Genomic DNA, 13,784 nt, shown 5'->3' on the forward strand with positions numbered 1-13,784 from the left:
AGGGTTAGGACCATGGACATGTCCAAGGCCAGTGCCAGGGCAACAGCAAGGGCAGGAGCAGGGCCAGGTTCATCTAAGAACCAGGGACAAAGCCAGGCCCAGAGCTGGGCCAGGACAGGTACCTGGCAGGGCTAGGGTCTGAGACAGGGCCACAGCAGGACCAGGGCCACAACCAGGTCTGTGCTATGGCCAGGTCCAACACAGTGCCCAGGTAAGGCTAGGGTGAAGGCCAAGGTAGGGCCAGGGCAGGGTCAAAGCCAGGCTAGGGCCAAGGCAGGGCCAGGGCCGGCAAGGCAGGGCCAGGAAAGCATAGGGCCAGGGCAGGGCAGGGCCAGGGCAGGGCAGGGCCAGGACAGTGCCAAGACCTGGGCAGGGCCAGGGCCAGGGCCATGGCCACGGCCTGGGGAAGACCAGGTTCAGGGCAGGAGCAAAACAATGGCAAGGACAGTGCAGGTTCTTGGCACAGCCAGGGTCCAGGACAGTGTCAGGGCAGGGCCAAGGCAGGGTCTGGGCCATGGTAAGACCAACAACAGGGCTGGGGCTAGGCCAGTGACAGGACCAGAGTCAGGGCAAGGGCCAGAGCAGTGCAAGGCCAGGGTAGGGCCAGGCATTTCAGGGTCAGGGCCAGGGGAGAACCAGGGCAAGGTCTCAAGCAGGGAAGGGCCAGGGCCAGGACAGGTCCAGGGCAGGGCCATGACAGGGCCAGGGGCTGCGTTAGGGCAAGGGCAGGGCCACAGCAAGGTAAGGGTCAGGGCCAAGGCCAGGGTAGGGACAGGGCAAGAAATATGGCATGACCAGGGGCAATGCCAAGGCCAAGGTTGGGCCAGGGCTGACCCAGGACTGAGTCAGGGCAGGGCAGGGCAGGGCATGGTATGGCCAGTGCAGGACAGGACAAGAGCCGGTCCACAGAGAGAGCAGAGCTGATGCCAAGAAAGAGCCAGGCTAGTGCCGAGGCTGAGGCAGTGTCAGAGCATGTCCAGGGCAGGGCCAGGGCCAGGGCCAGAACCGAGCCAGGGCACAGCCAAGGCAGGGTAGGGAAGGGAAATAGCACGGCCGGGTCAGTACTGGGACAGGACAGAGCAGGGCAAGGAGATGGTAGCGGCAGGGCAGGGACAGGCCAATGCAGAGCCATGTTATGCCGGGGCCAGGACACCTCCAAGTCCACTTCAGGGCCAGGGCTATGGCAGGACAAAGACCACGGCCAGGATCAGGGCCAGGTCTGTGCTAGGGTCAGCTCCAGAGCAGGGTCTAGCGCAGGCTAGGGTGAGGGCCAAGGTAAGGCCAGGGCAGGGTCAAAGGCAGAGTAGGGCCAGGGCAGGGTGATGACACATCCAGAGCACAGCAGGGCAGGGTGATGGCAAGACCAGGGGCAGACCATTGCCAGCTCAGGGCCAGGGAAAGTCCAGTGCAGAGCCAGGAAAGGGTCTGGGTCTGGGTCAGGGCCAGGAACAAGGCAGAGCAGGGCCAGGGCCATGGCAGAGTCAGGGCAGGTCCTTGACAGGACCAGGTTCCAGGCCAGGGCCAGGGCAGCAGCAGGGGCAGGGCCTGGATAAGGGCAGGGCCAGGGATATGGCAGGACCAGGGCTAGGGCCAGGGCCAGGCCATAGTGAGGGCAGGGCAAAAGCCAAGGGCAGGGTCAGGGCAGGTCCAGGGCAGGTCCAGGGAGTGGCCAGCACCAAGCGGGGCCAAGTCACAACCAGCGCAGGGTAAGGCAGGGAATGGCACCACTGGGCCATGACAAGGCAAGGTCAGTGCCAGGAGAGGGCAGAACAGGCAGGCCCATGGTGGAGCCAGGGCAGGGATGGGCCAAAGCAGGGCCAGGACATGTCCAAGGCCAGGTCAGGGCCAGAACAGGAGCAGGACCATGACCATTGGCAGGGCCAGTGCCATGACACGACCAGGGTCAGGACAAGAGGCAGGGCCAGAGCCAGGGCCAGAGCCAAGGTCAGGCCAGTGCAGGTTCAGGGCAGGGCCAGTGCCAGGGCAAGACCAGGGCAGGGACAGGGTAGCACAGGGCCAAGACAGGGTCAGGATGGGACCAGAGCAGGACAGGGCCGAGAGTCCAAGTAACAGTAGGGCAGGTACAGGGCAAGGCAGGGCAGTACAGGGCCAGATCCACGGCAGGCGCAGGGCAAAGCCAGGCCCATTGCCAATGCACCAGCCCTCCCTACAAGGCTCCTACCACCTGGCCACTGCTGCAGCCCGTCCATCGCTCTAAGCCTGACCCCCAACCCTGGCTGCAGCCGCCTGCCCTCCTAGCGCAGCCGCTCTCCTACCGCTCTGGCGCACCGCAGTCTCTGTCACTGCCGCCCACCCGCAGCGAGGCGAGCCATGGTGTCGCAGGCTCTAGGTGTCTCCTCCTCCTCCTGGCACAGAGCAGCTGGGCGGGCAAAGCCAGAAAAGCCTAGGGAAAGATGTGAGGGGTGGAAGGGTTAGAGCCTCAACTTGTCATGCCGGCCACTGGGTGGCAGGGGCCAGTTTCAGCAAAGGCACTCACACCCACCCTCCAAAGTCCAGCCTCTCCTTTTGGCCCAAGCTGGGCAGGAACTGGGGTCTGGGGTGGGTGCTGGAGACACCACAGCATCCAGCTCCCCACTCCACAGGAACCCCTGGGCCCACTGGGGCTGCACTCCTCGGGGAGCAGGAGAAGCAGAAAAATTCAGACCCAGCCAGCCCTCCACACCCAGGTGCCAATTCCTGTTCCGGACGCCTCCACGCACAGGGCCCTGTCCCCCGTGGTGTCCCCAGGGGTGCCTGGCAGCCTCTGAGGCACAGACCCACAGTACACAGGCCCAGGAACCACGGTGGGTGTGGGGGCTCTGCCATGCTCAGGATTCCCACGCAAACACTGTGTGCCCTGCTGCACTCCAGTATGACCAAGAGTGGGTCGCCCTCTGGAGTGTGGAGTCAGGGAGAGGAGAACCACTCCTTCCTTGGATGCCAACTCTGTTGACCGACACCAGCAGTGCAGCCCCTGATAGCACCGAACTCGCCCCCGCTCCATGGCTAGTCCTGCCCTCAATAGCGCCCCCCACCTCCGTCCCCCAATGCCGCCAGTAGCGTATAACCGATAGTGCCCTAACCTGTCCTCCTCCATGGGCATTGCAGCCCCAGAGAGCACCCATAACCCACCCTCCCTGCCGTGGGCAGTGCAACCCTGTACAGTGCTACCAACCAGTACCCCTAATGCAGGCAATGACACCCTGGATAGCGCCCTCAACCCACCCCACACTGCGAAAGGTGCAGCCCTGGATAGCCCCTGTCCTACCACTCTGGTCGTCCTGCAGTCTCTGTCACCACCACCACCAACCACAGTGAGGCAAGCCAGTGGGCCACAGGCTCTAGGACCCAGCAGCCAGGCATGGAGCAGCTCTCGCTGATGGCCGGCTCCTACCACTCTGACCACGCTGCTGTCTGTCTCCGTGGCCATCTTCTTTCACTACAAAGGAATAAAACTAGGTATCAATAAGAAAAGCAATTTTGGAAACAATACAATCACATGGAAGTTAAACACTACCCTCCTGAATAAATGACTAGTGGGTCAATGAAGATACTAAGACAGAAATTCAAAAATTTCATGAAACAAAGGGTAATGAAAACACAGTATACCAAAACTTGTTATGCAGAAAGCAGTACAAAGGCAGAGATTTACAGCTATAAGTGCCTACCATCCAAACAAAAGAAAACCTTCAAATAAACAATACATCTTAAAGAACTAGTAAAGAACAAACTAAACTGAAAATAAGAAAATAAATAAGATCATAGCACAAACAAAATTGAAATAAAAAACAGACAAGATTAAACGAAAAGTTGGTTTTCTGGAAAGCTAAACAAAATTGACAAACTTTTAACCAGGCTAAGAAAAGAGACAAGATTCAAATAAATAAAATCAACAGATTAAAAAAAGGAGACATTACAACTAATACTTCAGAAATTCAAAGGATCATAACTGGCTACTATATGCCAATAAATTGGAAAGCCTAGTAGAAATTGGCAAATTCCTAGATGCATACAACCTACTTAGGTTAAACAATGAAAACATCCAAGACCAGAACAGATTGGTAACAAGTAATGAGATTGAAGCCATCAGAAAAAGTCTCCCAGTAAAGAAAAGCCCAGGAACTGATGTCTTCACTGCTGATGGCTTCACACCAAACAATTTAAAGACCTAGTACGAATCCTGCTCAAACTATTTTGAAAAACAGGAGGGAATACTTCCAAACTTATTCTATGAGACCATTATTACTGTGATACCAAAATCAGACAAAAGCATCAAAGAAGGAAACTACAGGCCAGGATCTCTAATATTGATGCAAAAATCCTCAACAAAATACCAGTGAATCAAATTCAGTAATACATTAAAAAGATAATTCATCATGATCAAGTGGGATGTATCCCTGGGACCCAAGGGTCACTCAACATACAATGTGATACATCATATCAACCAAATAAACGACAAAAACAGTATCATCACGTCAACTGAAACCGAAAAAGCATTTGATGAAATTCAACATCCCTTCATGCTATAAATCCTCAAAGAAACGGGCACAGAAGAAACATACCGCAACATAATAAAAACTACAGGAAAGACACCCACAGCTAGAATCATATGGAATGGGGAAAAATGGAAAGCTTTTCCTCTAAGATCTGGAACATAAGGATGCCCCCTGTCACCACTGTTGTTTAACATAGTACCAGAAATCCTAGCTAAAGCCATCAGTGCAGCCCCTGATATGGCCCCCAACCCACCCTGCCCCCTACCACCAGCAGTGTCACCCCCCCAATAGCACACCCAACATACCCAAACTGCCCCGCCTCCCCACACCATGGGCATTACAGCACCCCATAGCGCCCTCAACCCGAAACCGCCACCCCCCCGACAGCCGCACAGTGCAGCCCCGGATAGCACACTTAGCCCACCTCACTGTTGCCAGCAATACAGTCTGGGATAGTGCCCCCAACCGGCTCCCCACCAAAGGCAGTGCAGCCCCGGTTTGGCCCCCAAACCACCCCCCCCGCCCGGTGCAGGCAGCACAGCCCCAGATAGCACACCCAACCGGCCACCCAAGACGGGCAGTGACGCCTGAGATAGGGCTCCCAACCCGTCCCAGGCCACCCACAGTGCAGCCTGGATAGCGCACTTACCCCGACGCCTTTCTACGCTCTGGCTGGCTGCAGTGTCCATCGCTGCCACCAACCACAAACAGGGCTGCAAACAGGAAGGATTTTATTCACTGTCCATGCGGCCCCGAGTTGTCCCAAAGCGAGGCAGTGCCCCCAAGGTCTGTGCAGAGCAGAACGCAGCTCCGCCCTCGCGGTGCCACCGGCCCGCCCGCCCGGGTCTCTGCTGAGGAGAACATTGCTCTGCCTTCGCTGTATCTCCGAAGTCTGTGCAGAGGAGAACTCAGCTCCGCCCTCGCAATGCTCTCCGGGTCTGTGCTGAGGAGAACGCAGCTCCGCCCTCGCAAAGGCACACAGCGCTGGCGCCGGCGTGGCGGAGAGGCAGACAGCGGCGGAGAGGCGGCCAGCGGCGGCGCGGCGGAGAGACGGACAGCGGCGGAGAGGCGGCCAGCGGCGGCGCGGCGGAGAGGCGGACAGCGGCGGAGAGGCGGCCAGCGGCGGCGCGGCGGAGAGGCGGACAGCGGCGGAGAGGCGGCCAGCGGCGGCGCGGCGGAGAGGCGGCCGGCGGCGGAGAGGCGGCCAGCGGCGGCGCGGCGGAGAGGCGGCGGCGGCGGAGAGGCGGAGAGGCGGACAGCGGCGGAGAGGCGGCCGGCGGCGGCGCGGCGGAGAGGCGGACAGCGGCGGAGAGGCGGCCGGCGGCGGCGCGGCGGAGAGGCGGACAGCGGCGGAGAGGCGGCCGGCGGCGGCGCGGCGGAGAGGCGGACAGCGGCGGAGAGGCGGCCGGCGGCGGCGCGGCGGAGAGGCGGACAGCGGCGGAGAGGCGGCCGGCGGCGGCGCGGCGGAGAGGCGGACAGCGGCGGAGAGGCGGCCGGCGGCGGCGCGGCGGAGAGGCGGACAGCGGCGGAGAGGCGGCCGGCGGCGGCGCGGCGGAGAGGCGGACAGCGGCGGAGAGGCGGCCGGCGGCGGCGCGGCGGAGAGGCGGACAGCGGCGGAGAGGCGGCCGGCGGCGGCGCGGCGGAGAGGCGGACAGCGGCGCAGAGGCGGCCGGCGGCGGCGCGGCGGAGAGGCGGACAGCGGCGGAGAGGCGGCCGGCGGCGGCGCGGCGGAGAGGCGCACAGCGGCGGAGAGGCGGCCGGCGTCGGAGAGGCGGAGAGGCGGACAGCGGCGGAGAGGCGGACAGCGGCGGAGAGGCGGCCAGCGGCGGCGCGGCGGAGAGGCGGACAGCGGCGGAGAGGCGGCCAGCGGCGGCGCGGCGGAGAGGCGGACAGCGGCGGAGAGGCGGCCAGCGGCGGCGCGGCGGAGAGGCGGACAGCGGCGGAGAGGCGGCCAGCGGCGGCGCGGCGGAGAGGCGGACAGCGGCGGAGAGGCGGACAGCGGCGGCGAGGCGCGCAGCGGCGGCGCAGGCGCGGAGAGGCGCTGGCGCCGGCTCTGGCGCGGAGAGGCGCAGGCCCAGGCTCCACTCCCCAGCTGTGAAAGGGTAAGAACCGAGGGTGGCTGAGACTCGGGGTTGTTCAGGGCGGGGTGGGCTCTGGACCCAGCAGGCCCGGCACCCAGGTCAGGGCTCCAGGGGAGGCCAGGTGGGCGAAGGCCAAGAAGGGGCTGGGGCTGGTCAGGAAGGGCTCCTGGTGACCAGAGCACTTTGCGTGAGCCAGCGTGGGAGGAAGGTGGGCTGGATGAGCCAGGGAGGCGCCGGGAGGGGCCTTGGCAGAGGCGACCCCCTCCGTCACCCCCAGGCCACTGAACCCTGGGTAGCGAGAACCGACAGGGGAGGCTGCAGACAGAGGAGTGGAGGCTCCCCGGCTTTGGGGGCTCTGAGTAGAAGCATCTAGGGGGTCCCTCAAGAGGCCCCCAAACGCTTCCCCATGGTGAGAAAAGAAGGTGCAGAGAGGGGCACGGCGCTGGTGCAGAGAGGGGCACGGCGCTGGTGCAGAGGGGCACACAGCGAGATTTGCTGTGAGTTCTTTTATTGCCCCAAGTGTACCTCATCTTGGTAGATTTCTATTGACTTTAAAAATGTGTGTGTTTTGCTGTTGGGGAGTGGGGTATTATACGGATGTCAGATTTTGCTGGTTGACTGTTCAGATCTTTTGTAAATCCTTGCTCCTTTTGTGCCTAGTTTCACTCTGTCACTTACACTAGAGTGCGGTGGCACGAACATGACTCACTGCAGCCTTGACTTCCTAGGGTCAAGTACTTCCCCTGGCTTAACCTCCTGAGTAGCTGGTACTATAGGTGTGTGCCGCCACACCTGGCTAAATTTAAAATTTTTTGGAGAGATGAGGCCTTGCTATGTTGCCCAGGCTCGAACTCCTGGCCTCAAGCTATCCTTTGTTTTTGCCTCCCACAGTTCTGGGATTACAGGCATGAGCCACTGTGCCCGGCCTCTGCCTAGTTTTAACAGTTGCTAAGAGGAGGATGTCGAAGTAGATGTCTTCTTGGTGGGTTAATCCTTTTGTCATTAAGCAGTTGTTATGGTCACTTCCTTTTCACCCCATTGGTGAAGGAGGGGTCCCTGCCCTAAAGTGTAGGAGATGGCTGAACACGACACCTGGCGTGGATGGATGCGATTGACAGCAGTGTTTTAGTCACATATACCCACAGCTCAGAGGAGGACACTGCATGCCACACAGGGTCAGATGGGCACCGCACTCTGTAGTGGAGTGAGGGCTGCGGGCTGAGGAAGCAGGGAGGCTTGGTAGTAACAAGAGCACACGATGACCAATGGTTCCCGAGGGGGAATGCAATTGGCTTGTTTGAATAAATTCATGGGCTGGCAGACAGGTGAAGTGAAACTTCTTAGGCTGAGGTGCAACTGTTCTGGCTGATAAAAGAACTAGCCAGGTGGGGAGCCTTTCCTGTTGGGTGGCGGGGTAGGGGGTGTCTGGTAGAAACAGGAAAACCCACGGCTAGGTCTTTGGGGCCCTGTGAGGCTCAAACATGTCAAGGCAGCATAGGAAATTTTAGATCTTAAAATTCAGCGAAGACCCTCTCCAGCTCTGGTAAATTATTTTGCTTGAAGTCTACTTCATGAGATATTAATATATTCACTCCTGCTTCCTTAAAAAATTAATGATTTCACAGGATATCTTTCTCCATTCTTTTACTTTCAACCTACTTAGGTCCTTAAGTGAGTTTGAAGTTTCTTATGAACAGTATTTAGTTGGGCCATGTGTTTATTATAGGCTCTCCATCAATCTGTCTTTTGGTTTATTTAGATCATTTACATTTAAGGTGCTTATTGTTACATAATTGCTTATGTCTGATGTTTTTATTATTTGCTTTTTTGTTTCCTTTTTCTTTCCCTCCATCTTGATCTATTTCTGTATAATGTTGCGTGTATCTCTTTGTATAGTCTTAAAGTGTTTGCTCTGGATGTTACAATATGTGTATTGTAATATAGTAGTCTACTGGTACCAGTATTTACCACTTCAAAGTGTGGAAACCTGCCTTGCATTTATGTCTCTTTACCTTTTCCACTTGTATAAATCACTGGCTTGAGTATTAGGTGGTGGTATAGTTTTTGTTTCAGTCGTCAAATGTGATTTTAAGAACTGTGGATTGTCTCGCAAATGTATCCACATTTCTCGTCTTTCCTTTGTCCCTCCTCCCATAGTCCCATATTCATCCCTTCTGCATAAGAACTTTCTATAGCCATTTTTTTATTTTGATTTTTTTGTTTTAATTTTTTATATTGTGGAAATGACAGAACATATTTCTGTAGCCACTTTTTAGCATTTCTAAATTGACCAGTGACAAATTCCTATATTCTCTTCCTCTGAGAATGTCTTTATTTCTCTCTTCATTTCTGAAGGGTAGTTTCATGGGATATAGAATTTGCCTTTCATGTATTCAGAGGTTTTCAGTATTCGTATAATCAAACCTGATAGTTTTCCTTTTGGTTTTGAGGTTGTGTCTTGTTTGGGTGAGTCTCCTACCCCTTTGACTACAGAAATGCCCTTTCATTTTAAATATCCTCCTATTATGAAACACATTTCCACATTTTCTAAATTTTTAATTTTTAGCTGAGAAATAAATTAGTAATTATTTAAGTATTAATTACTTTTATCTTGCTATTAATTATTGGTTTTATTTATTTACATGTAGTTGGCTTACATTTAGTTTAGTTTAACTTAATTACTTTAAAGTAATGTATAACTATCTGCAGTTTGTACCTCATGTTCTCACTCATAAGTGGGAGCTGAACAATGAGAACACGTAGACACAGGGAGGGGAACATCACACACCAGGTTCTATCCAGGGGTTGGAGGCAAGGGAAAGGAGAGCATTATGACAAATACCTAATGCATGCAGGGCTTAAAACCTAGATGACAAATTGATAGGTGCAGCAAACCACCATGGCACATGTATACCTATGTAATAAACCTACATGTTCTGAACATGTATCCCAGAACTTAAAGTAAAATTAAAAAAAAATAATTAATTAAAAATATATATCTTCAGTTTGTAAACGTCCCGACAACACAGGAACAGAGTTAAAAGAGTGTGTGTCGTCCTTAGCTGCTCCCACCCCATCGTCTCCTCCCTAGCCAACCCAGCCGCCAGTCTGGCGTGCGCCTTCAAGGTTTCTTCCTAGACACTGGCAAACATAGATCACTATTTTCTGCCACATGGTATCTTCTAAACACACACGATTGTTTTGTGCAGAAACTTTCTATTTTTACCTCTCATAAGTGTCCTGTGGATTCTTTCCATGTCACTGTGGTGTGTGTGCGTGTGTGAGATTCAAGTTCAGCTTGCTAATCTTGTAGAAAGAATTACACTCCACTTCCCCTGTGCTCTGGCCCTCCCTAACACAGCAGCCCATCCCTGGAGGCTGATGGAGCCCCTCGAGCACCTGCTTACCATTTCTGTTTGTTCTGTTTATTCAGGTTTTCTGCCTCCTGCTAAGCCAATTTATACATTCCAAGAAAATCTTCCATTTCATCCAGGTGAAACAGAACCTACTGGAATGAAGCTGGCCTCCCATGGAATGAAGCTAGCCTCCCGTCTCCTTGATTTGAAGCAGCTTCTCCACGTTGGTTATTATGCCATTTTTCTAAATCTAACATTTTAAAATTTGTGCCTTTTCTTTCTCTTTTGCTTGACTTCTCAGAGGTTTTTTTAATGGTCTTTTCAAAGAAGTGGTTTTGGGTTTTATTTATCAAGTCTACTTTTATTATGGCTGTTTTAAAATTAAATACATTTATTTCTTGTTTCCCTTAAAAAAGCTTCTTGTATGTTTACTTAGTTTATATAATTTTATATGTCTTCTGTTGAAGCATATTAACAAACACTTCCAGCTATAACGTTTCCCCTGAGAACTGCTTTGGACACATCCAGAGATTTTGATAGGTCACACACTTATTGTAGTTTGTTTCTGAAAAGTTTTTCATTTTAGTTTTTATTTTCTCTTTTACTCAAATTATCATCAGCTTTCTCCTTTTATCCTGTTTCTGACAAATTAATCTGAGGATATAAATTTCTCCCTAAATGTCAATTTTGTTGAGTTTCATAATTTTAATATGTAATACCCTATTGCTATTGAGTTCCAGGCATTTTATAATTTTCATTGTGAAAACTAACTTTGTTTCCAAAACACACTTTTTCTTCTTTTTTGAGACAGAGTTTCACTCTGTCGCTCAGGCTGGAGTGCAGTAACACAATCTCATCTCACTGCAACCTCTGCCTCCTAAGTTTAGGTGATTTTGTTGCCTCAGCCTCCCTAGTAGCCGGGTTTACAGGCTTTTGCCACTATGCCTGGCTAATTTTTTGTATTTTTAGTAGAGACAGGGTTTCGTCATGTTGCCCAGGCTGGTCTCGATCTCCTGACCTGGGGTGATCCACCCGCTTCAGCCTCTCAAAGTGCTGCGATTACAGGCATGAGCCACCATGCCCGGCCCCAAAATGCACTTTTAACATGGTCTTTGTTATTGCATGTTTCTAATTTTGTTGCACCCTGGTGAGAGAATGTGATTTGTGTAACAGCAATTCTTGGGAAAGGGGCTGAGGCTTCCTGCTCCTTTAGCACAGCTAAATTTTCCCAAACGCCATCCATGAGCTTGGAAAGAGCATTGTACTCTGTTGGGATGGGCTCAAATCTCTCTGTAAAAATGAGTGTTCTTCTGTTGTTGTTGTTCTGTTTTTTGTTTGTTTTGTTTTGTTTGTTTTTTGTCTCAGTCGTTTTGTTTGCTCAGATCTTTTGATGATCCAGATGATCTTTTAATTTATGCAGGATGTTTCTCTGCTTGTGCAGGCTGGTGGGATTGGGGACTGGAGAGAGGATAAGTGTCTGCTTGCCCAGGACTGGCAAACTGTCACTTGCCCTGGTTGTGCCTTGCCAGGAGCTCCCGTGCCTGTCTCTGAGAGTGTCATGAGCACAGCGGTGGTAGTTGTGTGGTGGATGCATTTCCCCTGGGTTGGGGGGTGGGTGGCTGGTCCTAGCTCTGTTTGTTGTTGCCGATGAGACACAGCACACTTCTGCTTCCTGATGGATCTTGTTGGTCATTTGACTTCTTCCTGGTCTGGGCTCCTGAGCTGGCCCTCCGCAGGCCAAGCAGGAATGGAGCTGGCTGCTACAAGAGTTCCTTCACTAGAGGGCATCTCTCCTCTCTCCTCCCACACATGGGAACACAAGGGTGGGCTTTCCTCCGCCCACTGTGATCCGCAGCCCGGCTTTCCCCTCCTCACCCTCTGCTCTCAGACAGACTTGGTTTTCGCTGGTGTCTGTGAGAGGTGATTCTTCATGGTGCCAAGAATGTGGATTTTTTTGAGAGCAGGCACTCTCACAGATATTTGCACACCCATGTTCAAAGCAGCGTGATTCACAAGAGTCAAAAGGTAGAAGCATTCTGAGGGTCTATGGGTGAGTGGATGGGCAAGCGAAATGTGGTTATGCATACAGTAGACTGTTACTGAACCTTTACCAGGAAGGAGATTCTTTTTTTTCTTTCTTTTTGTGGAAAATGCAGTCTCGCTATATTGCCCAGGCAGGTCTCGAACTCCTGGGTTCAAGCTATCTTCCTACCTCTGCCTCCCTAACAGCTAGGATAATAGGCGTGAGCCTATAATATCACCCAGCCAGGAGGGAAATTCTGAGAGGTGTGCCAACACACATGAACCTTGAGGACATTGTGCTAGATGGAATAAGCCAGCCACAAAAGGACAAATACATTGCGATTTCACTTACATGAGGGGCCCAGAATGGGCAAATTCAAATACAGAAAGAGCAATGGTTAACAAAAGGAGGGAGTTGGTGTTCAATGGGTATGGTTTCCTTTTGGGAAGATGAAGACGTTCTGGAGATGGACGGTGGTAGGGGATATGCGACAATGTGAGTGCACTTAATGCCAGTTATAACACGGGGAGCGCGTGTGCACATGGCTCTGGGAGTTCTCGTGCAGCACTCAGAGCTCAGCGTGGGCGAGGGCGTCACCCCTCTGGGGGCGTCCATGGGGCCTTGGAGAAGGGAGGCTTCAGGGCACCAGAGCAGTCTACCGGGAGAGGCCGGGCCGAGCGCTTGTTCACCCCCAGCCCTCTTAGGGAACTTTCACATGCTTCTCCCACTAGGCCTAGGCACCCCTCCCTACCCTCCCTACCCTCCTGGTTCCCTGACCCTCAGTGACTGTGTCCTTCAAGACTGAACTCCAGAGTCCCCACCCGAGGACCCGCAGTGCCCAGCCCCCGCGAGCTCGCGGGGTGTATGCCCACCCCGAGGCTCCACCGCGCCTGTGTGCTGGGAAGCCTGGCTCCATGGGACCCTCGGGCTCTGGGCGCGCTGTCGCTGCAGCTGCCAGCAGCTCCTGAGGAAGTGGCTCGAGGCCCTGGGGCGGGCCAGGCGTGCGGTGGGCCCGCAGCCCTCACACCGGCCCCGGCCGCACACAGGAGGCACAATCAGCAGAGACGTTGGACAGGGTTGGACACTGGCTGTCTCTTTCGGGCCTCAGTTTTCACGTCTGAAATAAAAGCGAGCATCCTGGCCCTGGCGCCATGCCTCTGCCGCGGTAGAGGTTTCCACCCCTATGAGCCCAGTGCGCCTTCCAGGCTCGAGGGAGAGGGAGTGTGCGTGCGTGTGAACGCGTCACACTCTTGTGTGAACGCGTCATACGCTTGTGAAAGACTGTGCGTGTGCACACGCGTGTACGTGCATGTGAACGCATCAGGGTGCCCGAGGATGCACACATGCACGTGTGAGTGTGCGCGAGTGCGTGCTCAGAGGACAGCTCTCAGCAGGCTGGGGACCTCCTTCCTCTCACCCCTGAGGGTTTTGGGGGACCAGCCCCCGTCTCCGGGTGCTATGGGATGCCCTGGGGCGAGCTCCCACCGCTGTGCTCGGGCTCCGGCTTTGTGGGGACCCGGCCTTCCCCGCCCGCACCACGGGGAGTTCCACGCAGCACCCACGAGGTGGCGCCGCAGACTCGCTATCGCGGAGCGTGGCGGCTCCCAGCAGCCTTGCCTACAGCTGTGTCCAGGGCGATCCCTCTCAGGCCCAGGCCGCTGCTGCCAGGAAGAGCAGGAACAATAGCCAGTCACGCCTGGTGATGCCCCTGAAGTGCTTATGCTCCCAGGCATGGGCTGTCCACAACGTGCATTCTCTCCTTTTATGCCCCTACTATTTGGAACGCTGTATTTTTTCATTTTTATTTTTATTTTTTGTTGTAAATCTG

General features: G+C 54.3%; 1 long non-coding RNA gene across 1 annotated transcript; it reads right to left on the minus strand.

The window, feature by feature from the left end:
• Positions 1-408: 408 nt before the first annotated feature.
• On the minus strand, positions 409-5,498 carry LOC105379523 (uncharacterized). The gene is made up of 3 exons (XR_951298.2): positions 5,146-5,498; positions 3,269-3,439; positions 409-2,404 (listed from the first exon to the last, which is right to left on the minus strand). It is a non-coding gene; the product is annotated as an uncharacterized LOC105379523 (long non-coding RNA).
• Between the last annotated feature and the right edge of the window lie 8,286 nt (positions 5,499-13,784).

The sequence above is a fragment of the Homo sapiens genome (assembly GCF_000001405.40).
Source record: "Homo sapiens chromosome 1 unlocalized genomic scaffold, GRCh38.p14 Primary Assembly HSCHR1_CTG7_UNLOCALIZED".
Lineage (NCBI taxonomy): Eukaryota > Metazoa > Chordata > Mammalia > Primates > Hominidae > Homo > Homo sapiens.